A 26,640-nucleotide genomic window follows, 5' to 3' on the forward strand; every position below is an offset into this window, starting at 1 on the left:
GCCAGCAGCCTGCAGTTACGGAGCCTGGATGGGGAAGCAGCTCCCCGCTGCTGGGGAGACCCCACTGAGCACAGAGAGGGTCTCCCCAGCCTTTGGCCCCTGCGTCTCCTTTCTCTTCATGACAGGGCATCAGCTCGGGTCCCTGGAAACACCCCCGCTCCCCAGCAAGGGGCTGTGTTTGCACAGTGGCTCTGGCCCCTAAACCCCACCTCTGTGGACTCCGTCAAAGCCTGGGGAGGGCAGGGTCCTGAGGGCCCTGGTCTCGCTGGGGTCGCATAGGTCACATGGAAAGAATTTGGAGGTCACAGCACTGCCCTCCCTGTAGATGCTTCAAAGCACCCCACTCCCTTGAAGCTGCCAGACTCTGCAGGCAGCAGGGCATGGGGAGGGACGAAGCCACCAGGAGACTGGGAAGAGGGACTCTGCCAGAGCAGCTGCCAGGAATCTGGGGCCTGGAGTCCATGTTTGGCTGGAAGGCCCTGGGATGGGAGGCTCCAGCTTAGCGTCTGGCTCTAACGCTTGGACTGTGTGACTCCGGTGGCTCATGCAACCTTTCTGGGCTCTGTTTTCTCATTTGTCAAAGCGACGGGCTGATCCCCTGCCCCACTCCAATCAATCACCAGGCCCTGCCCACTCTACTCAGTTTCTCTGTCTGCCTCTCCCTCACCACTACCACTGGCCTGGGCAAAGCCACCACCATTTTCTGATGCCACTCTTGCCCTCCCCACTCAAGTCAAGTTGGATCATCTTAGCTCCCTGCTGACACCCCTTCGAGAACCGGGAGACCTCCACCCTGCTTGTTACACATTTTTGCCTTTTCTTACTTTGAGGGCACAAATGGAGTCTTTTGGTATAGAGGAAAATAAAGCCTCACCTGGTCTGCACGGCCCTGCGGGACCCAGCCCTGACCACCCTTCAGCTTCACCCTTCCTCTCTACTCCAGCTACACAGCTGGGGTCCCCAGCCCCCCGGGCCTCAGACCAGTACCAGTCCATGGCCTGTTAGGAACCGGGCCGCACAGCAGGAGGTGAGCTGTGGGTGGACATTACCGCCTGAGCTCTGCCTTCGGTCAGATCAGCGGTGGCATTAGATTCTCGTAGGAGCGCGAACCCTATTGTGAACTGCACGTGCGAGGGATCTAGGCTGTGCATTCCTATGAGAATCTATGAGAATCTAACTAAGGTGATGAATCTAACTAACATGAACTGAGGTGGAACAGTTTCATGTACCTCAGATCATCGGGCTTAGTTAGATTCTCATAAGGGAAACCATTCTTCACACCCTGTCCATGGAAAAATTGTCTTCCACGAAGCCTGGCACCAAAAAGGTTGGAGATTGCTGCTATAGGTCACTCACCCCAGGACCTTTGCACATGCTGTTCTCACAGCCTAGACTCTTTTTCTCTCCATTTATTTGCCTGGTTAACACTTAACACATCTTTCAGATCTCTTCTCAAATCCTTCTTCCTCAGGGATGTCTTCCCTGCTCCTGCTCTCTGCCAGGGATGGCTCCTCTGACATAAACTCCCATAGCAACCTGCTTATAGTTAGAGATCTGTGCAACTGTCCAAGACCATGCCTGCTTGCTAACCATTCTAGACCTTGTGCCTGGCACATAGTGGGTCCTCAGTAAATGGTAGATATTGCCACCACTGATCATCCCACATTTACCTATGCTGATATTTGGCAGATGTCCCCAAGAATCTGTGTGTAGGCCAGGTGCAGTGGCTCACGCCTGTAATCCCAGCACTTTGGGAGGCCGAGGTGGGTGGATCACCTGAGGTCAGGAGTTCCAGACCAGCCTGGCCAACATGGTGAAACCATGTCTCTACTAAGAATACAAAAAATTAGCCAGGCATGGTGGCGGGCGCCTGTGATCCCAGCTACTCAGGAGGTTGAGGCAGAAGAATCGCTTGAACCTGGGAGATGGAGGTTGCAGTGAGTTGAGGTCACTCCACTGTACTCCAGCCTGAGCAACAAGAGCGAACCTCCATCTCGAAAAAAAAAAAAAAAAAAAAAAGAATCTCTGTGTGGAAGTCTGCAAAAGCAACCACGTTGGGTATTAGGAGGAACACAGGCCTCGGCTGCTGAGGGTCTGCTTTCTAATCCCAGCTCTGCCACCACAAGCTTTGGGCAAGGTACCGCCTCTCTGAGCCTCAGTTTCCTTATCCAATTGATCTAAAGGTGGAATGGACATGCTGGCTGTTCATCATGACTGCTGCGAATCTCTCTCTAGACTCCCACCTCCCTTTGCATCCATTCCCCCTACCAGGCGATGTTCTGATGGCTGAAGTGACCAAATAAAATGCCCAGGATAGTGTTGGACCCAGAGAAGACATGTAATAAATTAGATTTCTAGCATATTCTATGGTCCACCAGCATCAGAATCAGGCATTCTGCTGGAAATGTAGGTTCCTGGACCCTCCCCCCGACACTTACTGAGTTAGAACCTCTAGGATGAGGGCAATGAAACTTGCATTTGTAACCAGCATTCCTGATGATTCTCATGCACATGTCCGTTGAGAAGCACTGAAATCAATGCAACCTTATGCTTGCTACCGCCGACTTGCAATTCCTGGGTGTCCTGATTACCAGCACAGAGGTGAGACTCACCAGAAAGGGGCGTGGCCTTCATAACCTGGTATTCTTCCTGATGGCTTAAAAACACGAGTACAGGCCTTGCAGTTAGATTGAGGTGCAAATTCCAGTCCCTCTACTTACTGGCTTAGCTGTGTGACCTTGGACACATGGCTCAACCTCTGTGAGTCACCTTTCTCATGCTTAAAACGGCAGTAAATTACCTCTACCTGCCAGGGTTGTTGCAATGATCTGAGGAGGTGCCTTATGCAAAGCACAGTTCATGTGCTCGGGGCAAACAGTGGAAAAACAAACCAGGAAATGCTTCTCTGTCTGTCTGTGCCTCCTACCTGCCACAGGAGAACTGAGGGTAGAATCTGTGTACCCTTCTCAGCACACCACAAATCCTAGTCACTTAGAGAGACACAGACTGCCTACAAGGCTAGTCAACTCCCAACCACCTTTGCAGAAGGGGGAGAGAGTGGGAGTTTGTGAAGAGCAAAAGCAGGAATTGGATGGGAAAATGGTCTAGGGCTCACGTGGAGTGACCCAGGACCCAGAGTCTCACCTCCCAAGGCTAGGCCTTGTAGGGCAGCAGGGCCAAGCATGCTGCAGGAAAGAACACAGAGTCTGGAGCCAGACTGTTCAGGTTTAAATTTTGGCTCTGCTACTACTAGCTTTGCCTGGCTGGCAAACTCCTACCCATCCTTCAAGACCCAACTCAAACATCACCTCCCTGGACCAAGTTACTGGGCCTTTAAAGGCTCCTGCCCACATACTCACTAAATACTTTTTTTTTTTTTTTTTTTTTTTTGAGACAGAGTCTCCCAGGTCCTATTCCTCTGGGCCTTTAAAGGCTCCTGCCCACATACTCGCCAAATACTTTTTTTTTTTTTTTTTTTTTTTTTTTGAGACAGAGTCTCCCTCTGCCACCCAGGCTGGAGTGCAGTGGCATGATCTCCACTCACTGCAACCTCTGCCTCCCGGGTTCAAGTGATTCTCAGCCTCCTGAGTAGCTGGGACCAAAGGCACGTGCCACCATGCCCAGCTAATTGTTTCGTATTTTTTGTAGAGATGGGGTTTTGTCATGTTGCCCAGACTGGTCTCGAACTCCTGGCCTCAAGTGACCCACCCATCGCAGCCTCCCAAAGTTCTGGGATTACAGGTGTGAGCTACCGCCCCTAGCTGACCTCACCAAATACTATTCAGCAATTTACCTGCTAATTTATCTATCTCTCCCACAGGCCTGGGAGCTCCTGGAAGGCACAGACACTGCCATGCCTGGCACAGGAAACGTACTCAGCAAATGTTGCTTCAGTTTGAATGCCAACTTTTTCAGCCTTCTGAGTTTCCTTTCTCTCCCCATTAAATGCTTCCTAGGCTAATCCTTCTTCCTCCCCCTGACTCAGGTCCTTTCCTTTCTGGGTCTTAAACTTCCACACCCCCTTCCTTGAAGGTCCCTATCCGCTCACCCCTGAGCTGATGCTGAACACAGGCTGTACAGGAAGACCTAAGATTAATTTCTTCCCTTTGCTGGCTGCAAAGGACTCTCATGGAAGGTGAGGCACTCAGAGTCCATGAGACTGGCTGATCATAAGGACTACGACCAGCTGGGTAGAAGTCAGTTATGGAGGAAGCACAAGTTGGATTCAGCCAGGGGTGGTGGTTCACGCCTGTCATCCCAAACTTTGGGGGTCCGAGGCAGGACGATCGCTTGAGCCCGAAGTTTGAGACCAGCCTAGGCAACATAGCAAACCCTGTCTCTACAAAAAAATTAGGCCAGGCACGGTGGCTCATGCCTGTAATCCCAGCACTTTGGGAGGCCGAGGCGGGTGGATCACTTGAGGTCAGGAGATCGAGACGACCCTGGCCAACATGGTGAAACCCCATCTCTACTAAAAATCCAAAAATTAGCCGGGCGTGGTGGTGCAGCGCCTGTAGTCCCAGCTACTCAGGAGGCTGAGGCAGAGGAATCGCTTGAACCCAGGAGGTGACAATTGCAATGAGCCGAGATCATGCCACTGCACTCCAGACTGGCGACAGAGTGAGACTCTGTCTCAAAAAAATTAAAAAATTAAAAAATAAAAACTTAGCCGGGTATGGTGGTGCACGCTTGTAGTCTCAGTTACTCGAGAGGCTGAGGTGGGAGGATCGCTTGAGTCTGGGAGGTTGAGGTTGCAGTGAGCCATGATGCACGATGGTGCCATTGCATTCCAGCCAGGGTGACAGGCAGAGTGAGACTTCGCTAAAAAAAAGAAAAAAAAAAGCATAGACTCTGTAGCCAAAACTGCCCAGGTTCCACTCTAGCTCTGCCAATTACTGACTGAGAGGAGAGATACATTACCTCTCTGTCCCTCAGTTTTCCCACCTACAAAACAGGAATAACAATAATAAGTACCTCACAGGGTTGATGTGAAGATTAAGTAAATTTATAACATAAAATATTTAGTGCTGTACCTGGCACACAGCAAACACTCAAGAAACGCTATTATTATTACTGCTAAGACTAGTAAAACACCGCGGGCAGGAAAGAATGGAGGATTACTGAATAAAGCCCTAATGCAGACAGAAGTTACTACTATGTCACTCCCACAAGGAAACATCAAACATCACCACTCCCAGGAGCCTCCTCAGAAGCAACCTGCCAGCCCTGGGCTGGTCATTCTCTGATAGTATCAGGGCCGTTTTGTCCCACTTTCCTCCGTGGACTTGAGCTCACTAAGGGCAGCCTTACTGCACCCTCCCCCACCCCATCCTCAGCACCCAGTGGTGTGCAGCAGGGTTGTGGGAAATATCTGCCAGACAGACATGCTTAAGATGTGGCCCGAGTCCCTTCCCCTTTCTGGAGAGGCCTGCTTCACTGGGAAGGCAACTCTCCAATGCCATAGTACAAACCCCTAGAGAGCCTGCATCCCTTCCAGTCCCATCCCTGCCAGACACTGGGAACGCAGAGGTGAAAAGGCAGGGGCTCTGCTCCATCAGAACCCTGCCTAGTAATAAATCAGGTGACATTTATTAGGCACTTAGTGTACTGCAGGCACTGATCCTGGCACTTTACAAGAATCTCGTCGCTTATTTAAACAACTCTCTAAGCTTGGCACTATCCTTATTCCCATTTTACTTATGCAGAAATAGAGGCTAAGAATTAAGTACTTTGCCTGAGGCTGCTCCAGTAAATGGCAGAGCTGGGATTCAAACCCAGGCAGGCTGGGCCAGAGCTTGAACTCTTGATCTGTGTTAGTCCAGGGGGAGGGGGGAGGAGGGGGGGAGAGAGATAGGAGAGAGAGGGGAGGGAAGGGGAGGGGAGGAAACAGGAGGAGAGCGGAGGAGACAGGAGGAGAGGGGAGGAGAGGGGAGAGGAGGTGAGGGAGGGGAGGGGAGGGGAGGGGAGGGGAGGGGAGGGGAGGGGAGGGGGAGAAAGATTTCAGTCCAAGGTGACCCTGAGAGAAGTCAGTCAGGCGAGGAGTTAGAGGGAAGGGGGCTGCGGGAACACAGGATGGGGGTGGGGTGGGCGGATGGTGAAGTAAGTTTCTAAGAACAGCTATGGAAAGAGAAACAATTGGGACATGTGTCAACACTGTTACAATATTAGTGCCATCCAATTCTTGGAGTCTAGCACCAGATATGCACCATGCATGCTCTGAGTGCTGCTCCTCTCACTGAATATTTGCAGTCTTCCTGGGAGGGACTTATCCTCACTTCACAGATGGGAAATCCAAGGCTCAGAGAGGAAGACACGCCTGCTAAAAGTCCTTGGTGACAATTCAATGGCAGATCCAGGGTTCAAGCTCAAGTTGATCCCATGGCCCTTGGTCTTAACCACTAGGTCACACTGAACAAACAGGTATTGGTGGTGCGTGGTAGGGATCTGATGCAGAAGGTGGGGGGAGCTGCCCAGTTTTTCACCCGGGACCTGCACTTAGTGCCTCCGCCTCCCCCACCCCTATTTGGGCTGAAGGCAGACAGCACAGCTCCAGCCCACCAGAGCCGTGGGGGGGGCGGGGGGGTGGGTGGGTAGTAGTGTGGCCTGGCTAAGGAGTCTCTCAAATATAGTGGGGAAATAAAATAAGTAGCAGAGAGATGGGCCAACCATGGCCCATTCTCATCTTCCCTCCCTAACCGCGTTCATCAGAAAACAGCATATGTGAGGGCCAGCACGCAGCCATTCTTTCCGGTGCTTCAGGAGGTTAGGATGACAGAGCCACGGGCTGGGCGCAGTGGCTCACGCCCATAATCCCAACTTCTTTGGGAGGCCGAGGCAGGCAAATTACTTGAGGTCAGGAGTTCGAGACCAGCCTGGCCAACATGGTGAAACCCCGTCTCTACTAAAAAATACAAAAGTTAGCCAGGCATGGTGGCACCTGCCTGTAATCCCAACTACTTGGGAGGCTGAGGCAGGAGAATTGCTTAAACCCAGGAGGTGGAGGTTGTAGTGAGCTGAGATCGTGCCACTGCACTCCAATCTGGGCAACAGAGCGAGACTCCGTCTCAAAAAAAAAAAAATGACGGAGCCACAAAGGTAATAACAGCTCCCACCTCCCAAGGGCCAACTCCGTGCACCGTCCTGTGAGCTTTACAACCTGTCATAAATTATCAACCACTTTTCACAACACCACTATGAGAAAGGTGCTACCATCATCCCATTTCATAGAGGAGAAAACCGAGGCTCAGAGATGGTCACTCACCAAAGGTCACCCAGCTGGGACTAAGTGACAGAGCTGGGACTACAACCCACATCTGTCTGGCTCCAAAACCTCCATACCTCCATCTTATCTAGAAAGAGTGCTGGATGAGGAGTCTAGAATCAGGGTCTAAGTCCTGCCTCTAACCTGCTGTATAGCCTCAGGTAAGTCTCTTTCCCTTTGTGAGCCTTGGTCTGCCCTATGAGGAAGTTGGCCTAGATGACCTCCAAGTCCCACCTCCTGTGACTCTGTGAGCTCTCATGCCCTCCTCTCTCTGGCTCCCAGCCACCACACCGGAAGCCCAACAGGATGCCGAGTAACCACCCACTGAACACTCAGGGGCGAAGGAAGATGAAGTGCCGCTTTCTCATGGCCATCTTCCACCAGACCAGCCCAGGAAACAAGGAACCACAAAGCCACAGGATTCCCTCCAGCGTGGCCGTGTGAACAGCAGCCCTGGAGCAGAGGGGCTGGGCATCCCCTTGCGGCCATCACTTCCTATGCCCTCACTTCTCGGCAGGGTGTGCGGAAGCGAGGGAGGCAGGCTCCAGCTCAATGCCCTCTGGCTCTGTTTCTCTGGGTCCCCAGGGGCTGGGACGGTGGGAACTGGTCACTCTGGGAGAATCCCAAGCCCACCCCGGAAGGCTGAGTTGAAGTGGAGGTTCAGACAGGTCTGTCTGGCTCCACAGGTAACTTTTGCCCACTGTGCTCTGCTGCCAGCAAGGTCTCGAAGCATCTGGGATGCCTGGCTACCTCTCTCCCATCCCTGAAGTAGCAGCCAAAATCCCAGATCCTGCAGAAACCTACGCCTCCTCAGCCTCAGGACAGACGAATATCCTGAGGCCCGCGCTCCTGCCTCCCTCCTGCCCCCTACAGTCCATGCTCTACACAGCAGCCAAGGTCTTTCCAAACAGAAACCAAGCCCAGTCGCCCCTCAACGTGGGGTCCTCCAGTGGCTTCCCACCACTATTAGAACGAAATGCTGACCCCTGCCCCACAGACAAGGCTGTCCATGGCTTGCCCCTCCAGGCCCACCTCTCCCTAGCCTTCCCTCCACCCTCCACTGCCTCTGCCCGGCCACACCAGCGTTCACCCCCTACATGTGCCAAACTTGCTGTTCCGGCAGCCGGGAACTCTCATCTCCCCCGCCCCCGTCTTTGCCCGGCTGCCCCCTCCTCAACCTTCATGTCCCAGCTCAGACATCACCTCCTTTCCTGGCCGCTCCTCTAGAGCGGCCCCCTCCCCTCACAGCCACTCTCCACCACATCGCCCTGTTTTGTCTCCTTTCTTCTCTCGGAGCGATCCTTCTGGTGGGTGGCTTTGCCTGTTTGGTCTCCAGCTTCCTCCCCTAGAGTGCAGCTCCTTAGGGGCAGGCATGTGACTGCTCCATTCTCTTCTGTCCCCACAATGAGGCAGGGCCTCCTTGGGTGCTCACAACCCTGAAGATGAGGACGCTGCAGCCCTGAGAGGTGGATTGAGCCGCCCAAAGTCCCAGAGCCAGGGAATAGCAGGGTTCAGACCGAGGGCGACCTGATGCCAAGCCTCAGTGGGTGGGGGGCTCTCACGGCTGGGGGCCTACTCTGGAGGGCTCTCACCCAGGGTGGACAGAGTCGCAGTGAGGCTCTTAGGGCGGGTACCAAGAATGAAGGGCCCACCAGCTTTCCCAAATGGTCCTTCTGCAAGCTACAGGCCAGCTGAGCTCCTGCCTGGGGTGGGTGAGACCCTGGGGGTGAAGAGGCACCAAACACCAGGAGCAAAGGCTCCCAAATGAGGGAGACCACAGACACAGGGAGCTGGGAAGCTTCGACCCACCCAGTGCTTGACGGAAGGGGAAAGTGAGGACTATGGAGGGGAAGGGACTTGCCTGAGGTCACACAGCCAATCAGTGGGTCTCCAGGGAGGGAGGCCCTTCCCTACCCTGCAGAACAGCAGGCGAAGCCCAAAGCCCAGGGTCTGGGCAGAGTGCCAGCCCAGAACTGCCAGGCCCTGGGGGCAGGGGCAGGGCTACAGAGTGAATCTGGGGCATTAAGACAAAGAAAGGACTCAAATTTCTTCCTTCTTTCAAAAAACACTTGAGACAGGCAGTGTCTCATACCTGTAATCCCAGCACCATGGAAGGCTAAGGTGGATGAATCACTTGAGCCCAGGAGTTCAATACCAGCCTTGGCAACTAGTGAGACCTTGTCTCTACAAAAAAATATCAGAAAATTAGCTGGGTGTAGTGGTGCACCTGTGGTACCAGCTACTCAGGAGGCTGAGGTGGGAAGATCACTTGAGCCCATAAGTTCAAGGCTGCAGTGAGCTGTGTTCATGCCACTGTACTCCAGCCTGGGTGACAGAGTGAGAGACCCTGTCTCAAAACCAAAACAACAAAAAACATTCACTGAGGCCGGGCGTGGTGGCTCACACCTGTAATCCCAGCACTTTGGGAGGACGAGGTGGGCAGATCACCTGAGGTCAGGAGTTCGAGACCAGGCTGGCCAACATGGTGAAACCCCGTCTCTACTAAAAATACAAAAAATTAGTCGGCTGTGGCCGGGCGCGGTGGCTCACACCTGTAGTAATCCCAGCACTTTCGGAGGCCGAGGTGGGCGGATCACGAGGTCAGGAGATTGAGACCATCCTGGCTAACACAGTGAAACCCTGTCTCAACTAAAAATACAAAAAATTAGCCAAGCGTGGTGGCGGGCACCTGTAGTCCCAGCTACTCAGGAGGCTGAGGCAGGAGAATGGCGTGAACCCAAAAGGTGGAGCTTGCAGTGAGCCGAGATCGCGCCACTGCACTCCAGCTTGGGCGACAGAGCGAGACTCCAGTGTGGGGGACAAAGCGAGACTCCGTCTAAAAAAAAGAAAAAATTTGCCTGGTGTTGTGGCAAACGCCTGTAATCCCAGCTACTTGGGAGGCTGAGACAGGGGCAGGAGAATCGCTTGAACCCAGGAGACAGAGCTTGCAGTGAGCCGAGACTGCACCATTGCACTCCAGCCTGGGCAACAAGAGTGAAAGTCCATCTCAAAAAAACAACAACAAAAAAAGAAAGTTAAACACACATTGCCCCTCTGACCCAGGAGTTGCACTCCTAAGTATGTGCCCCAAAGAAATGAGTGCTGAGGTCTGCAAAGAGTTACATACGAGAATGTCACAGCAGCCTCAAGCTGGAATCAACCCAAATGTCAGCCACGGACATTTACACGTACATCCACCCAATGCGGCACGACTCAGCCTAAAAAGGAGCAGATGCTGGTACAGGCGACACGGACAAACCTCAAACATTCCTTGCTGTCCAAAGCTGAAGAAAACCAGGCACAAAAGAGCACACATGAATGAATCCACACAGAGAAAGCTCAAAACCAGGCCAAACTAGAGGGCCAGTGGCCACCTGCTGCAGGGGACTGATGGAGGAGGCACACGGGAACTGTGGGAATGGTTCACACTTTGGTCCAGGTAGTATGCAGGTGTGTGCATTTGTAAAACGTGAGCTGTACAAGATATGCATACATTACTTAAGTAAATTATACTATACCACAATTTTTAGAAACGTACAATCTCTGCCCTCATGAGGTCCAGTCTGGCATCCTGTGTCATCATCGTAACAGTCATGACAATAACAGCAGGTGACACCGACTGAGTCCTCTGTATGTGCCAGCCCTCAGCTGGGCTACTCTGAAACAGGATCTGATTGAGCGTTTCTAACTACTGGGCAAAATACTGCCCCAGGAGCTCCATATTAGAGACAGGAGAATAAAGCTTAGAGAGGTGACACGCTGTCCAAGGTGACAATGCAAAAAGTGAGGATGCCAGGTTTGAACCTGGGCCCATCAGTCTCCAAGGCCCACTCCTGCTGCACGGGCAGATCCCGCCTCCCTGCCCTCTCCTCCCCACACTGCCTGCTCAGATGTGGCACCTGGAGGCAGCCAGTCCTCGCCCCTCGCCCCCTCCTCTCCAGTGCTGGAAGGAACAGCTCATGTGTGTAATGGACTCGAAGCTTCTGTGAAAGAGCTGCTGAGGAAATGAGTCCTTCCTTCCCCTTCTGCCCCCTCTGCCCTCCCTCATCCCTCTCATGGCCACATAGCTCTGAGGACATTTCAGCCCTGGACCTCCGCCCAATAAGAAGGGACTCCAATGGCCAGGCAGCTGGGGGTGTGTGTGGTATTGACCAAGGAGCTTTCTCAACCCCTGGACACCCCAGCCCAGCCTGTGGCCTCTCAGAGGACCAGGAGGACATGAGGTTAGAGTCCCCACCCTTGGCTCCAGTTTCCAAGTGACGCAACCAAGTGTCTGGATTCAGAGAATCGCAAAATGTTTATCTGGAATCACAACCACCACCATGACCATTTAATCAAACCTTATCCTGTGCCAAGTGCTACAAACATAGCTCATGAATCCTCACCAGCAAACAAAATGGGTACTGCTAGGCTCTCATTTTACAGAGGAAGAAAGTGGAGCTCAAAGGGGTTAGGTGCCTTGCCCCAAGTCTCACAGTGAGGAAGTGGTGGGGCTGGAATTCAAACCCAGATTTGCACAACTTCGAGTCTATCCTCTGAATGAGAGTATTATACTTGTCATCCTGCATGTCATTACTGAAGACGGCCCTGGAGTCAGTCTGCTCCAGCCATGTCATTTCACAGATGGGAAGACTGAGGCCCACGAAGGAAGACCGTGGTTCAGGAGGACAAGGATTAGTGGCAGAGCCTGGGCTGGAAGCCACCCTGGCCTTGCTTTCAATGACCAGATCAGAGCCTGGGAGCGGGCCATGTGCAGCTGGATGGGCAGCTGGAGGGAGTCAGGCAGGGAGGTGGGAGGCTCTGCTTCCAGGCAGAGGTAAATATTGACATGACTGTGTTTACGCTGTAACCTAACTCTGCCTGGCTGCTGCCCCAGGCCCACCCTCCTGCCTTCCCAGCCAAGGAGGGAAGGGAGCTGTGGGAGGAGGATGGGGAGAGGAGGCTTCTGGGCCAGGGGCTGCTCCTCCTGCTTAGAGGGCTATGTGGTCAGAAAGGCTGGGACATCAGGTGTTAGGGGTGGGGGTTAGTGGAGACCCAGGCCAGGGGACCAGGTGGTGCCAGACAGGGAGGGGCTGTTATCTGAGCTGGGGAGCTGGGGATCTCAGGGCGGGGGACTGGGCTGGGAGTCACAAGGCCTGAGTTCAAGTTCTAGTTCTGCTACTGATTGGCAGTGGGAATCCAAGAACAGTCGGTGAATGGGGAAGAAAAGGTCTAACTGTCAAGTGCGGTGCAAAGGTGAACAATAAATAACCAGCATTTGAGCCTGGCCAGTGTCCAGCCCCAGTGAGCTCTCAACGCCTCTGGCTACCGGCTCAACAGTCCTATCCCTGTCCCAGTGGGCTTTCCCAGGAAGGCCAAGTTTCTGCCAAACTGAGTGGCAGCTTGGGACTGAAGCCATAATAATCTAGAGGAATCGGGGAGCCACTGTCTAGCTCCCGTCCCTAATTCCCTAAGTGACCTTTGAGCCTCAGCTTTTACAACTCTGAAATAAGGCTCACCCTCCTCCCTGGGGTTGGTGTGAAGAGCAGAGATTACATTTAAGTGCCAGGCACATAGTAGATGCTCATTTTGTCTCTCAGTCTTCCCACTTGTCAAACAGGGGCCTCGAAGTTGGTGGTTCCTAATCCCCTTTTCATACAAGCGCTCTAGCGTCTTTAGAAGGCCCAGAAGCCAGGCCCACCTCCCTGATGTTAGATCCCCACCTAGCCGATTTCCTGAATGCTCTCTAGAAACTTGCTCCCCTGTTTACACCTCCCCCCAGGAAGTCCAAAGGGGCCCTGTTGGGAGGAGGGAGCCATTCCTAGGCTTGTCAGCCCACCAAGACAGGCCTGGGGCATCCCAGCCACTCTGCCCTCAGGGGCCCAAGGAAAGGGCAGGCCCCAGGTCCTGGACTCCAGTGCCACCCTGACAGTGGGGTTCCGCCAGCACTGGTTGTTCATTAAACTGTGCCCCTCAGACTATTAACTCTTCAAGGACAAGTGAACCCCCCTCCTAATTTTTTATGTGTCCAAAACTTGGCGTCTAGGAAGCATTCCACCAAGTGTTAACACCTCTTCTGGGAAGGCTTCCCTGATACACACCTATGGGCAGGATGACTCTGGAGCTGCATCCCCAGGTTGGCACATAGCATTTTCTACCTTATTTCAGAGCGATCTGGGAACTTGTTCTTTCTCCTCTATTAAAGGCTCTGGAGACCAGGGCCCTCGGCTGGTTATCTGCCTGAAAGGATGAGGGGAAGGGTCAATACATTCAGGAGAAGGGGCTGTCTGGGACCTCTGTCTGGGGCCACAGCCTCCTTCTGTCTTCACTGACTGCTCTGGGCAGCATGCCAGGGGCGTGGTTTGGGCTAGAGGAGGACTGGATGGTGCCTGCAGCACCACCTTTCTCCCAGGGCCACTTCAGGTGCCTCCTCACTGGTTTCCCAGCCTTCGGCCTCACTCCTTCTACTCAATCACCACAAAGCAGCCTGTGACCATCTCAGAATGCAAATCCGACCGTGTCACTCCCCTGACTCTAAACTCCTCAGTAGGCTGGGTGCGGTGGCTCACACCTGTAATCCCAGCACTGTGGGAGGCTGAGGCGGGTGGATCACTTGAGGTCAGCAGTCCAAGACCAGCCTGGGCAACATGGCGAAACCCGGTGTCTACTAAAAAAATACAGAAGTTAGTCGCATGGTGGCACGCCTGTAATCCCAGCTACTCGGGAGACTGAGGAGAATCACTTGAACCAGGGAGGCTGAGGCTGCAGTGAGCTGAGATTGCACCACTGCACTCAGCCTGGGTGACAGAGCAAGACTATGTCTCAATAAATAAGTAAATTAATTAAATTTAAAAAATAAACTCCTGAGTGGCTCCCCACTGCCCTAAGGATTGAGCCCCAGGTCCTTCATATGACCATCCCTGAGTGCACCCTCCGGGCCACCTCCTAAGCACAGTCCTCCGTGCCTCCAGATGAACCATCCCTGAAGGCACAGCGGTCTGTACTCTTGCACATTCTGCTCCCTCCACCCCCCGCCCCCCAACACTCTTCCCAGTCCCACTCGCTCTTTAGGTTATGATTTTAATGCCATGTGCTCAGGGAGCCTTTTCTGATCCTCAGGTCAGGTTCCCGGTCCAATCCCACAGCCCCCCGCGTGTCTCCCTGACAACAGTAATTGCGCTTGTAATTTCCTGCTCTGTATCTGTCTGCCTGCCTGTCCATCAGACTGTGGGAGAGAGAGACCTATCAGTCTCACTCACACTGACCACGGCCCCCATGCCTCGTGTTGTGCCAGACAGACTTGTTTGGTGAGTGAGTGAATGAACAAATGAATGAAGCCCTTTGACTATGGCAGGAGGCTTACCCAGTCAATTGGAGAGAAAAAAATTGAGCAGAAGCACAAAAAATTGTAAACATTTGCTCATGGTTCCTCTCTCACCGTAGACATGAAAGTGTGGACTTGGCCAAGCTGGTTTTCTGGGCTAACGCCCAGAACATTCTGCCAAGCCCACCTTGTAGCCCTCTCATGCCTCAAATCCTGTTCTTCCCCTGGCCTCCCCAACTCTGCAGGGAAAACAATGTATTTATTCTTTAACAAAAGGTAACAACATCCTTGTTTACCAAAAGAGTGTAGCAATGTAAGGAGGCCTCAGTAGCCCAGTCACCAGCAGGGGCACAGGCTGCCCAGGGTGAAGTACGCACTGTGCTCTGGGAGCCCCATCTGGAGTGGCTGAGAGGCACCAGAGTGACGTGGGGGCATGTGGTTAGTCTCCTATCTTCAAACAGTAACGCTTCTCCCTACCTTTTTTTTTTTTAAGATAGGGTCTCACTATGTTGCCCTGGCTGATCTTGAACTCCCGGCCTCAAGTGATCCTCTCGCCTCGCCCCCGCAAAATGCTGGGACTACAAGCGTGAGCCACTGCCCCCGGACTCCCTCACATTCTTAATAGTTCCCACAGTGTTTCTACATACATTGTACCCTCACAATATCTGGAGAAGTGGAGCAAATCTGCCCCACTTTGTAGGAAAGGGGGCACAGAGCCGGGGAATGGCTGACCCAAGGTCACACAGCAAGCTGGTAGTACATCAGGATTCAAACCAAAACCCTGGGCCCTGTTCTCAACTCAACTGCTGTATAGTAAAGAGCATTCCCAACCCTCAGCGGTAGCCTCAACTCAGCCCCAGCTTGGAAAGTGAAGGAACATTCTCAAGGTGCCACAGCTGCAGATGGGGGATGATGGGTTGGGTCTCCTTCCCCCAACTGTCTGCCAGGTTACCCCTCCAAAAGTCCAGGAGGTTTGTGCCTGTTCTGGTACTATCTTGCTCTGTGACCCTGGGCAACCTCCTTCACCTCTCTGTGCCTGCTGCAGGGTGGTTTGAGTACAACCGGAGGCAGGAGACATAAAAAGCCTCCTCAGAACCCTCGGCCCACGGCTTGCACTGGGAGAAAACAGGGGGAGACGGTCCATCCGAGGCCCTTAAGAACAGCACTGACTCCCTGCCAAGGGGTTAGAGACGTGGGTGGGGAGCTGGTGACCATCAGGGAGATTCAGTGAGGACAACAGGAAACACATCACACAGACACACAGACACACACAGATACACACACACACACACACACACACACACACACACACACACGCCCTGCAAACGCGCCGCATTAGGAACCCAGGGGCCAAGGACAACTTGGCCACACTGCAAAGAAGTGAGTGCTGGATTTGTTTAAAAGCCGCGGAGCAGGAGATCCAGGGAATAAACACTTGATCAGTCCCGAATCACCCCTGCCTCAGGAATGACAGCACAGGAACCAATGTTTAGAGGAAATTAAAATGACAGGAGCCAGGGAGGCCTGACATCAGCCGCCACCCCATGCATGCACCGCCGGTCAACAATCCACCGTGGACTTCCTCAGCCTAGTACTTTCTGGCCCCAGCAACCTTTTTGCCCTCTTTCTCTTTTGTTTCCTGACCCTTTCATAGCCAGGTGCCAGACCAGCCCCATTCTGGCCTTTCCAGGAGCCTGTCCTGTGCACTCACACCTCTGCTCCTCTGTCACACAGGTCCCCCTCCCGGGACACCCCTTCCAGTTCAGATGTCACCTGCTCCATGAAGCTTTCTCTCGTCTCTCCAGCTTGGAGAGAGCCCCTGCCTGGCATATTTCTACCTCTCCAAGGACGTGCCAAAAAGTCTGAGGACCAGTGCAGACGTTTATGGCCTGGTGGAAGCTCCCATAACACTGTTTATTCAGTCAATTCTTTCCTCCCTCACATGGGGTTTGGCTTAGAGTAAGTGTTCAACACGTCCTGGCTAAATGACAGACGAAAGTATCACGGTCTCCTCCCTACAACATGATAAACTTTCATTCGTCTTCCAGACCAGCAAATAGGTGGCCTCTGTCCCTGTGCTGGAAAAGCCAGCCCATAGCCCTGGACAGATGGATGACAGACTTTTGTTTTGGATTCCAGAGACAACCCCTGGGGCAAATAGGTTAGATGTTAGGTAGAACTTCCCAGCGTGGGCTCAAGCTTGGAAAAGAAAACTAAGCAGTACTGAAGCAAAGCACTCTCACTTGGGTTATCTCACCCTTTGGAGGTAAGTGTTATCATCTCATCTTGCAGATGAGGAAACTGAAACTCAAGGGTGATGCTTCACCTAGACCAAAGTCCCTGTGGGGAAGTGGAGGGGATGGGGTTCAAACACAAATTGGTGTGACGTCAAAGCCTGGACTCTTCACAATAGGCTGGTGGGCTTCTTCAGTTGTAAGGATCTATAAAGTGTCACCAAGGCAAAGTGAGGGGACCTCTTTCTTTTTTTGGTGGTTTTTAAGGAAGAAAAAATTTTCTTTATGAGTAACTCAGGGTGGGCTTAGAGGCAGAGGGGATCATACAACCTCAAAGTCTCACGGCCTTTTGGTGCCCATACACTGAGACTTTAAATCCAGTGCTGGTCCACAGATAGTGCACTCCCTGTGTCGGAAACGGTCTGGGTGGGGCATTACAGGGGAGATTCCTAATGGAGGAGGTAGGTTGAGTCTCACGTGGTCTCTAAGCACCTTCAGGTATAGAACTAAGCCATAATTCCACCACTTCTGACTCTAGTGAGGCAACTGGCGGTGCCTAAGCAAAGAAGACCCTAGCTGGGTGAGAAGAGGCCTTGGAAGGGAGAGATGGGGGGGCGGGTTGTAAGGGGACTCCAGCTCTGGGCACAGCAGGGGCTGGGAACCACTGTGGGACTCTTCGGCTTTACAGGGGGTCCCATCCTGCTCCCATCCAGGCGCCCTCGGGCTTGGCAGCATCATCACAGAGAAGTGGAGGGGCTGGATCACAGGTACTGGCAGCCACCATCCCAGGCACATGCCCTCCTCAGCCCTACATGGTGACTTTGACCCACTTCACAGGGCACAGAACAGAACTAGGAGAGGGAATCCGAGTGGCTCGTCTATAGGGAAAGAAACCAAAGAGAAGTAGATGGCTCCCTTCCCGTGATGGAGAGGCCGGCACCCGGCCCTGGACAAGTGGACAAAGGGCCTTTGCTCTTGGGGTCCAGGGACAATGCCCCTCCCAACAGCCCCCCCCCAGGAAGCCCAGCCTGGATCAAATGGATTTCTCTTCTGGGGCTTTAGAGAGCCCCATGAAACGCCCCTCCCCAGTTCCCTTTCTCCCTGGTACTCCTGCCTATCGCAGTCAGCACTCGGCCTCAGCAAGCCCCTCCTCTGAGGACCCATCACCGGGAGATGCTGGGGAGACCGGATCGCTGGGTGCAGGGCCCCTGAGTGTCCCCTGGTCTCTGACAGCACCGACCTAGCTGCGTCGCCACCACATACACCCCTTAGGCCACAGCTGGATCAGCAGTCCCAGAGGGCCGCAACCTAGCCCTCCGAATGCGCCGGGCGTGGCCACCCACAGTGCCCCAAGGCGAGCCCCAGACCGACCTCAGTGTCCCGGGACGCTCAGGTCCAGCTGCATCCAGGCACCTCGAAATCGCCGCCACCCGCGAGCCCGACCCAGCCCGGCTGCCCTGGGTCTCCAAGCCAAGCTGAGTCCAGGGACTTCAGAACAACCCAAAACAGACCGCAGCAACCGTCCCCAAAGCGAACCGGGGACCCCGAGCCCCCCACATCCGGCTGGGACCAGAACCAAGCTCGGCGCGGCCGCCCCCGACGGGACCAAGCGCAGCGCCGCCGGGAGAGCCGCGCTCTGCCCGGGCGCTCCCCGACTCCACGCCTTCCGAGAGCCGGGCGGGGGCTGCTGCTGCAGCCGGCGCCCAGCCCCCCGCGAGCCAGGGCGGCCCCGGGTGCCACCCGCGGCACCGCTGCCCGCGACCGTCGAGGCTGGGCTGGACCGGACCAGACCTCCGCGCGCAGCACTCACCATAGCTCGCGTGCTCCGCCCCGGCTTCGCGCAGCTCCCCGCGCCCGGCTCCCGATTCCCAGCTCCGGGTTCCCTGCTCCCAGCCCAGCTGCTCGGACGGCTCGGCTGCCTGGCCCAGGCGGCGCGCTCAGCTCCAGCGGGCGAGCTCGCGGCTTCGGCGCCGAGTGCCGGAGGGGCGGGGCCGCCGCGGGGCCAATGGCAGGGCGCGGGGGCCTGGGTGGCGCAGCCAATCACGGCCTGAGGCTGCACTCCCCGCGCCCGCGCGGGCCCTTAACCCTTGGCGCGCTGGGAGTCGGCTGCCCGGGCTGCGCGGGGAACCTGGAGGGCAGGAGCAGGCGGGAGTTGTTGCTTCGGGGCGCAGGGTCCAGACCTTGCCGAGACCGGCGTTGGGAGCTAGCAGAACCGGGAAGAGGCTCGATTGTGTCCGGTGGGGCCGCCGGGAGCCTCGGCGACCTTTGTCTCCTGCCTGGCTCCTGCACTGGAGTGTGACCCGGGGCGCTGCAGCTGCTTGTGTGTGTGTGTGTGTGTGTGTGTGTGTGTGTGTGCGCGCGCGCGCGCGCGCGCGCGTGTGTGTAAGAGGGAGGAGAAGAGGAGACAGAAACGGTGGGAGGGGTGGATTCCGCGTGCCCGTGTGCTTATGTGTGAAGGAAAGTCCTGACTATATTTGGGATTTGTTGCTCTGTGTGTATATGTGCGTGTGTGTGTTTGCTATATTTGGGGTTCGTTGCTGTGTGTGTGTCCGCTGTATTTGAGGTTTGTTGCTGTGTGTGTGTGTCCGGTATATTTGGGGTTTGTTGCCGTGTGTGTGTGTGTGTGTGTGTGTGTGTGTGTGTGTGTGTAAGAGAGGAAGAGAGATGAGGAGACAGAAAGTGGGGGAGGGGTGGATTCCGCGTGCCCGTGTGTTTATATGTGAAGGAAAGCCCTGACTGATTTATTTGGGATTCGTTGCCGTCCAGGGACTTCAGGACAACCTGTGTCCGCTATATTTGAGGTTTGTTGCCGTGTGTCTGTGTGTCGCTATATTTGGGGTTCGTTGCTGTGAGTGTCTACTATATTTGGGGTTTGTTCTGTGTGTGTCCACTATATTTGGGGTTCATTGCTGTGTGTGTGTGTCTGCTATATTTGAGGTTTGTTGCTGTGTGTGTGTCTCCGCTATATTTAGGGTTCATTGCTGTGTGTTTGTGTGTCTGCTATATTTGGGGTTCGTTGCTGTGTGTGTGTGTCCGCTGTATTTGGGGTTTGTTGCTGTGTGTGTGTGTGTCCCCGTGATAGAGGGGTGAGGGAGGGAATGGTAGCAAAGCAGAGAGAAGGAGCCGTGGCTCTCTAGGCGTGTGAATTTGCAGGTCCAGGAGAGACACTGTCTCCACGTGTAGGTTTTGTGAGGTCAAGGGAAGGAGGAAGGAACAGAAGACAGCCTGCCTGTGTGTGTGTGTGATGTGTGATCTCCACTTTTGGGTCCTGTTGTACATGCATGTTAATGTGGTAGAAAGAAATGTGGTGTCCCTGTTGTAAACAAGTTGTGAAAAAATCCTGGGTTTTTGTGGTGTAGTTTGCGTGTGTTGTACGTGCCCACACAAAAGAGGGACATGGCTGTGATTTGGTACAACTTTGTGTGTAACCCAGTTTGCAAGAGACATCGAGATAAAAACATTGTGTGTGTGGTGACACTGTGGTCTTTGTGTGTGACTGTTGTGTGACTTTTGTGATCATCTATATTTGGGTTGGGCTGAGAAAGAGAAACTACTGTGTAGGGGGCATAATGAGTGTATGTTCAGGAGAAAGACATCCTGGCGGCATTGGGATTTGGGCTTTGAAGGATGTCTAAGAGTTCATTAGGCCAGACAGAATGCTCGTGAGGCCAGAGGGAAAGATCCGGGGAATCCTGCCTATCAGCCAACGGGGGTGAGGAGGCTGTAGTGGTGGGTGACCAGGGTGAATTTGGAAACAGAACCTACTGCCAGCAAGGAAGAGGAGGAGCAACTGACTGCAACCCTTGCCCAGGTGCTGACCCAGAGTGGCCCTGGATGCGTCTGGGCACACAGAGTCATTCTAAAGCGGACCATCTGTTCCTGGGCAGTTTGTTTGGGAACCTGGAGGGCGGGGAGGGGCTCTGTGGAAATAACTCTATGTTGCTCCTTCCTTCCAGCAGCATTCCAAATTCTTCAGTGTGGAGGACTCAGGGAGGTCGAAAAGCTCCTTGAGTGCAGCAGTTGGGAGCATGGTGAAGGGGGGAGGGTCTGGCCGTGTCTGCAAGGTGACCAGACCTGAAGGTCCAGAGCCCCCCTCCATCATGGGGTACTTAAACTATCAGCTGCCCTGGCCTGGTGTCCGATTCCTGACTATTCCTCAAGTGTCTTCCTAAGAATCATAGCCTGATGCCTGCAGAGACATTGAAGATCCAGGGACACACAAAAATGAAACCCAGTTATCCTGGCACTCCACTTGCCAGCAATGTGATTATGTTCTCTTCTCTCTGAGCTCCCGTTTTTGCCTCTGTAAAATGGTGTTCATAATTCTTACCCACCTCACTGTACTGTTGTAAAGATTTAAGGAGTTAATATACCTCGTGGGCCTTTTGTAACTTAACAAACCGCTAGAAAGCCTTTAAGCATTGCTCCATTTACAAAAAGTTCAAAAAATAAGCAAAATTAGACCTGTGCTGTCAGAAGTTAGGTTTGTGTTATCTTTGGGGAGGGAATGACTGGAAAGGGGCACCAGGGAAGCTTCTGGGTGCTAGTAAGGGTTAGGTACGGAGGAGGGAGTAGTTCAGTTGTGAAAAATTGAGCAGTCTCCTTAGGATCTATGTGCTTTTCTGTCTCTGTTACTCTCTAACAAGAAGTTTCCAAAAGAAAAAAGGGCCAGGTGCAGTGGCTCATACCTGTAATCCCAGCACTTTGAGAGGCCAAGGCAGGCGGATCACCTGAGGTCAGGAGTTCAAGACCAGTGTGGCCAACATGACAAAACTCGTCTCTACTAAAAATACAAATAAATTACCCGGGCATGGTCGTGGGCACCTGTAATTCCAGCTACTCAGGAGGCTGAGACAGGAGAATCGCTTGGACCGAGGAGGCGGAGGTTGCAGTGAGCTGAATCACGCCGCTGCCCTCCAGCCTAGGTGACAGAGAGACTCCATTTCAAAAAAAAAAAAAAAAAAAAAAAGGCAGGGCTCAGTGGTGGATCACTTGAGATCAGGAGTTTGAGACCAGCCTGGCCAACATGGCAAAACTCCATCTCTACTAAAATACAAAAATTAGCTGGGCAGGGTGGCGGGTGCCTATAATCCCAGCTACTCCGGAGGCTGAGGCAGGAGAATCACTTGAACGTGGGAGGCAGAGGTTGCAGTGAGCTGAGATCGAGCCACTGCACTCCAGCCTGGGCGACAGTGAGAATCCGGCAAAAAAAAAAAAAAAAAAAAAAAAAAAAAAAAATCAGAAGGTCAGGTATAGGTATTATGACCACATTTTAATCACTCATAAAATGGACATTCTGGAATGCTGTATCAGCTCAGGGCAGAGTACTGGGGACACTATATTGAGTAAGGTGTGGTTCTCCTGGCTCTATGAAGAAAGCAGAGGAGAAAGGCTGTGGCTTTCTTGCTTCTGAAAGGGGCACATTAAGGATGGGGCGGGGCGGGCAGGGAGTGAGGGGCAGCATGCCCAAACCCACTCCAAAGCCACTCACCCGGCTTGACAGCAGAATCAGGACTAGAACCAAGGCCTCCCAAGGTGATGGCTGAGTCTTTTCCATTCTACCAGGCTGCTCCAGAAAACGCAGCCCCTGGTCTTATGCTGCTCAAACGGAAGCAAGCAAGTGAGGTTTGCTGCCGACTCTGACCCTTACCTCCAACTCCTCCAGGATCTTCAGAGATCACCTCATCCAAACAGCTTTCTGGGAACGGCCAGCCATAACAAATGCTAAGCATTTATTATGTGCCAGACATGGTGGCAGGTGCTTTGCAGCATTATCTGAGTGATTCTCACAATTCTATGTGGTAGGTGCTAGGATTCCCACATCACCTCCATATTGCAGGTGAGAAAATCAATGTTCAGAGAGGGAAAGTGATTTGCCCGAGAAGACACAGCTAGTTTGAGGGGCTTTGCTCCTTTGCTGGCATGCAGCTGCTTCTGTTGGTATTCATGGGCTCGCCATGCCCTCTGACAGACACAAGTGGTTTCATGACAGGAGAAGGTGTCCCCTGTTAGACTGCTGGAGACTGGATGAGATGTGGGGAGTTGCCCCTTCCAAATACTCAAGCCTCTGGGCACAGGGTCTGCCCCATCGGAGCATCAGGGCTCAAACGCAGAAAACCAACCTGAATTGGCCAGAGCCAATTGAGTTACACAGAGCCTGTGTAACTACAAAGTACAGGGGCAGAGCTAGCTTTAGGCATGGCTCCAAGAGGAGCTCAGATGATGACATTAGGATTCAGTCTCATTTACTCCATCTCTGAAGACCGCTTCCCTCCCTGCTGGCCTCACCTCTTGGCCTCATGATGACAAGATGGCTGCCCTCAGCAGTGGCTCACATCCTACTCTCTTATCAACTCCCAGCGGAAACAGGGACTCACTTTTTCCTACAGTTCTAATTAACATTCCCAAAACTGAGTCTTGTCGACTGTCACTGAGACATGTGTCAATTCCTCTGCCAATCACTGTGGCCAAGGGTTCTGATTAGCCAGGAAGTGAGACCCTGGAGATACCTGGCATTGTAGTTTAGGTGTGGGTTTCCAGCCATGCAGCCTCAGGACTCACCAGGATCCAAAAGGAATCTCCCAGAATGTGTGGAGAGACATGAGTCACAGACGTTCAATATATGTGGCCATGGCTATCACTGGCATTATTCTTCCTCCGCTTTGCCTCTGTCATCGTCTTGTACAGAATAGGTGTTTGGTAATGACTAGTACACAGTAGGTGCCCAGAGAATCCCTTTTGTTTGGCTGATTTTTTGCTTTGAGAGTAATACCACGTGCCAAGTCAGACAGAGGCTGGACACACTGAGCGACCCACAGGCATGCAGACAGAATGAGACTCGCTGTAAGAGCTTTTTAATTTTTAATGTTGTTTTGTCTTCCGTAACTGAGCTGAAATACTGTCTAGGGCACCCGAGGAAATCACCAGACTCTCCAAGGAACAGTAACCAGCCTGTCTAAGAAGATACAGTCATGAAAATGGCAGAAGAAGCTCTGAAGAGGCTGGCAGGGGAGGGGACTCCGTGCTCAGATGCAGGGTGCAGGCAGGGTACAGGCAGGCAGAGCTTGTCAGGCCCAATGAGGCTCTTCCTGACTCATCCAACCCTGCAGTGAGGTAGCCAGGACCCTTCCCCCTGCCCTGGGCCCCTGGTGAAAGACTGGAGATCAGGCTATCCCCCCTGACCCCCCTCTCGTGTCTCCTTGGGCCACCAATTACTCTGATTCAACTGGGCAGTTGAGTTTCTGTGAAGGACAGAGACCCATGAAGTCCAGCACTCACTGCTATTTATTGAGTCTGTTCCAGGCGCCATACTTCGAACTTCACTTGATTTAAATACAAGAGCAATGGAATATACTTAGGATACTTACTTTATCGCTGCTTTTACCTTACTTTTTCTTCCCTCTGCCCTGATTTCCTTAATTAATTTTGAAAAAAAAATCTCTATTTTTTCAAATTTCAAATGTAATACATGGTCACTGTAAAACAGACAATAGGGTCGAGGCACCATGGCTCAGGCCTGTAATCCCAAAACTTTGGGAGGCCGAAGCAGGAGAACTGCTTGAGGTCAGGTGTTCACCAGCCTGGGCAACACAGTGAGACCTTGTCTCTACTAAATATAAATATATATATACATACATATATTTTTGTTTGTTTGTTTTTGTTTTTTTGAGATGGAGTTTCGCTCTTGTTGCCCAGGCTGGAGTGCAATGGTGTGATCTCGGCTTACTGCAACCTCCACCTCCTAGATTCAAGCAATTCTCATGTCTCAGCCTCCAGAGTAGCTGGGATTACAGGTGCCCACCACCACGTCCAGCTAATTTTTGTATTTTTAGTAGAGACAGGGTTTCACCATGTTGGTCAGGGTGGTCTCGAACTCTTGACCTCAAGTGATCCGCCCGCCTCAGCCTCCCAAAGTGCTGGGATTACAGGCATGAGCCACCACACCTGGCCTCTACTAAATATATTTTTAAAAAATTAGTTGGGGCTGGGCGCGGTGGCTCACACTTGTAATCCCAGCACTTTGGAAGGCCGAGGTGGGCGGATCACGAGGTCAGGAGATCAAGACTATCCTGGCCAACATGGTGAAACCCCGTCCTACCAAAATACAAAAAAGTAGCTGGGCATGGTGGCATGCGCCTGTAGTCCCAGCTACTCCGGAGGCTGAGGCAGGGGAATCACTTGAACCTGGTAAGCGGAGGTTGCAGTGAGCTGAGATCGCACCACTGCACTACAGCCTAGCGACAGAGCAAGACTCTGTCTCAAAAAAAAAAAAAAAAAAAAAAAAAAAAAGTCATGCATGGTGGCACAAGCCTGTATCCCAGCTACTGGGGAGGCTGAGGTGGGAAGATCACTTGAGCCCAGGAGTTCAAGACTGCTGCACGACACCCTGTCTCAAAAAGAAAAAAAAAACAGAGAAAAAAGTAAAATAGATAATGCGGAAATGAATACAATGGGAAGAAATAGTCCCTATAATATCGCTCCTCAGATATTAACCATTGGAAACTCTTTGATGTGATTCTGTATTTAGCTGAATTGACAGATTTATGTCCATTTTGGGAAGAGGGAAAACGTTATTAACGTTTTCAGAGCCTCCTTCCTCCCTGTCCTCTCTGAGGAAGGAAACTTGGTGTGTCAGGCAGCTGCAGCCCGGGCTTTACCCTGTGAATCTGGGTAATGGGTGGAGGTGGGGGAGAAAGAAACAAACTACAAGAGAAAGGGCAGAGGTTGTGGGGTGGGAAAGATGGGGAGAGGCTGGAGCAGGGGATGAAGTGGGTCAAAGCCAGCGCAGGCTGAGCTTTGAGGGAGTGTTTGGGGGATCCAGACGCAGATTTGGGGGCTGCTGTGCTGTGAGATATTGAAAAAGAGTGAGGGGTCAGGCGGAGGAGAGAGAGAGAGAGCAGCAGGCAGGACACGGGAGAAAGTTTTACTAAGATTATGGATGATGTCTGCTTTAACATTCTCAAAAGAACTGAATAAATAGTTAAATTGCTTTGCAGTTTGTTTGTTTGTTTGTTTTGTTCAGAGGAGGAAATAGTGTTTCTAATTCAACAGGGGGCTGAGACTGGCTTTGGGTGGCTCAGCTTTACCCAGATTACATTTTTATACACAGAAAGCTAGATTACATCATCATCATAAAAATAAAAATAAAAACTGATAAAATATCTTGTCTAAGTAATGTATGCCAGGCACTGTGCTAAGTACTCCTCTGTATTCATTTATTTAATTCTACAATAGCCCAATGGGGGTGGTTACTACTATTATCCCATTTTACAGACAAGGAAACTGAGGCTTAGAGAGATGAAGCAACTTGCCCAAGATCACACAGCCTCCAAGTGGGAGAGCTGGGATGAGGCAATTTGTCTATTATCTTAACTTTCTGGTAAACACAGTTGTTTTGTTTAAATTAATTAACTCATTAATTTTGCTGTAAGAACCTTAAGGAAGATTCTTATTGATTAAGACAGAGTCTCACTCCATCGACCAGGCTGGAGTGCAGTGATGTGATCTTGGCTCACTGCAACCTCCATCTCCCAGGTTCAAGCGATTCTCCTGCCTCAGCCTCCCAAGTAGCTGAGATTACAGGTGTGTGCCACTATGCCTGGCTAATTTTTTTGTATTTTTAGTAGAGACAGGGTTTTACCATGTTGGCCAGGCTGGTCTCGAACTCCTGACCTCAAGTGATCTGCCCGCATCAGCCTCCCGAAGTGCTGGGATTACAGTTGTAAGCCACTGCGCCCAGCCAGAAGATTCTTATTTTTAAATTTAATTTAATTTTTTTAGTGAAGAGGGGTCTCACTATGTTGCCCAGGCTGATCTTAAACTCTGGGGCTGAAGGGATCCTC

The 26,640-nt window shown here is 52.5% G+C and overlaps 1 protein-coding gene across 3 annotated transcripts in view, besides 11 other annotated features; it reads right to left on the reverse strand.

Annotated features, from left to right (window-relative positions):
• Window positions 1-18,737, reverse strand: part of ECE1 (endothelin converting enzyme 1) — a 128,255-nt gene extending 109,518 nt beyond the window's left edge. Inside the window, exon 1 of one of the 3 annotated variants that reach the window (NM_001113348.2) lies at window positions 18,609-18,737. In NM_001113348.2, the coding sequence (NP_001106819.1) occupies window positions 18,609-18,611 (3 nt within the window). In that variant the 5' untranslated portion in view covers window positions 18,612-18,737. Of the gene's footprint in view, window positions 1-2,438; window positions 3,319-18,169; window positions 18,509-18,608 lie in introns of those variants that run through there. The other 2 variants (XM_011540873.3, XM_011540872.3) reach the window with 2 other exon arrangements.
• Window positions 873-1,431: an enhancer, noted in NCBI's record as "H3K27ac-H3K4me1 hESC enhancer chr1:21654133-21654691 (GRCh37/hg19 assembly coordinates)". NCBI's record gives its function as "activates a minimal SCP1, AML or CMV promoter by ChIP-STARR-seq in naive H9 embryonic stem cells {active_cell/tissue: H9 hESC(naive)}" and the evidence as "EXISTENCE:reporter gene assay evidence [ECO:0000049][PMID:30033119]".
• Window positions 2,305-2,962: an enhancer, noted in NCBI's record as "H3K27ac hESC enhancer chr1:21655565-21656222 (GRCh37/hg19 assembly coordinates)". NCBI's record gives its function as "activates a minimal SCP1, AML or CMV promoter by ChIP-STARR-seq in naive H9 embryonic stem cells {active_cell/tissue: H9 hESC(naive)}" and the evidence as "EXISTENCE:reporter gene assay evidence [ECO:0000049][PMID:30033119]".
• Window positions 7,609-7,828: an enhancer, noted in NCBI's record as "active region_328". NCBI's record gives its function as "activates an Ori minimal core promoter by ATAC-STARR-seq in GM12878 lymphoblastoid cells {active_cell/tissue: GM12878}" and the evidence as "EXISTENCE:reporter gene assay evidence [ECO:0000049][PMID:35858748]".
• Window positions 11,734-12,676: an enhancer, noted in NCBI's record as "H3K4me1 hESC enhancer chr1:21664994-21665936 (GRCh37/hg19 assembly coordinates)". NCBI's record gives its function as "activates a minimal SCP1, AML or CMV promoter by ChIP-STARR-seq in primed H9 embryonic stem cells {active_cell/tissue: H9 hESC(primed)}" and the evidence as "EXISTENCE:reporter gene assay evidence [ECO:0000049][PMID:30033119]".
• Window positions 16,520-16,569: an enhancer, noted in NCBI's record as "active region_329". NCBI's record gives its function as "activates an Ori minimal core promoter by ATAC-STARR-seq in GM12878 lymphoblastoid cells {active_cell/tissue: GM12878}" and the evidence as "EXISTENCE:reporter gene assay evidence [ECO:0000049][PMID:35858748]".
• Window positions 17,120-17,209: an enhancer, noted in NCBI's record as "active region_330". NCBI's record gives its function as "activates an Ori minimal core promoter by ATAC-STARR-seq in GM12878 lymphoblastoid cells {active_cell/tissue: GM12878}" and the evidence as "EXISTENCE:reporter gene assay evidence [ECO:0000049][PMID:35858748]".
• Window positions 17,954-18,333: an enhancer, noted in NCBI's record as "active region_331". NCBI's record gives its function as "activates an Ori minimal core promoter by ATAC-STARR-seq in GM12878 lymphoblastoid cells {active_cell/tissue: GM12878}" and the evidence as "EXISTENCE:reporter gene assay evidence [ECO:0000049][PMID:35858748]".
• Window positions 18,464-18,573: a silencer, noted in NCBI's record as "silent region_379". NCBI's record gives its function as "represses an Ori minimal core promoter by ATAC-STARR-seq in GM12878 lymphoblastoid cells {active_cell/tissue: GM12878}" and the evidence as "EXISTENCE:reporter gene assay evidence [ECO:0000049][PMID:35858748]".
• Window positions 18,694-18,883: a silencer, noted in NCBI's record as "silent region_380". NCBI's record gives its function as "represses an Ori minimal core promoter by ATAC-STARR-seq in GM12878 lymphoblastoid cells {active_cell/tissue: GM12878}" and the evidence as "EXISTENCE:reporter gene assay evidence [ECO:0000049][PMID:35858748]".
• Window positions 19,034-19,083: an enhancer, noted in NCBI's record as "active region_332". NCBI's record gives its function as "activates an Ori minimal core promoter by ATAC-STARR-seq in GM12878 lymphoblastoid cells {active_cell/tissue: GM12878}" and the evidence as "EXISTENCE:reporter gene assay evidence [ECO:0000049][PMID:35858748]".
• Window positions 19,094-19,143: an enhancer, noted in NCBI's record as "active region_333". NCBI's record gives its function as "activates an Ori minimal core promoter by ATAC-STARR-seq in GM12878 lymphoblastoid cells {active_cell/tissue: GM12878}" and the evidence as "EXISTENCE:reporter gene assay evidence [ECO:0000049][PMID:35858748]".

The sequence above is a fragment of the Homo sapiens genome, chromosome 1, assembly GCF_000001405.40.
Source record: "Homo sapiens chromosome 1, GRCh38.p14 Primary Assembly".
NCBI classification, from domain to species: Eukaryota; Metazoa; Chordata; class Mammalia; order Primates; family Hominidae; genus Homo; species Homo sapiens.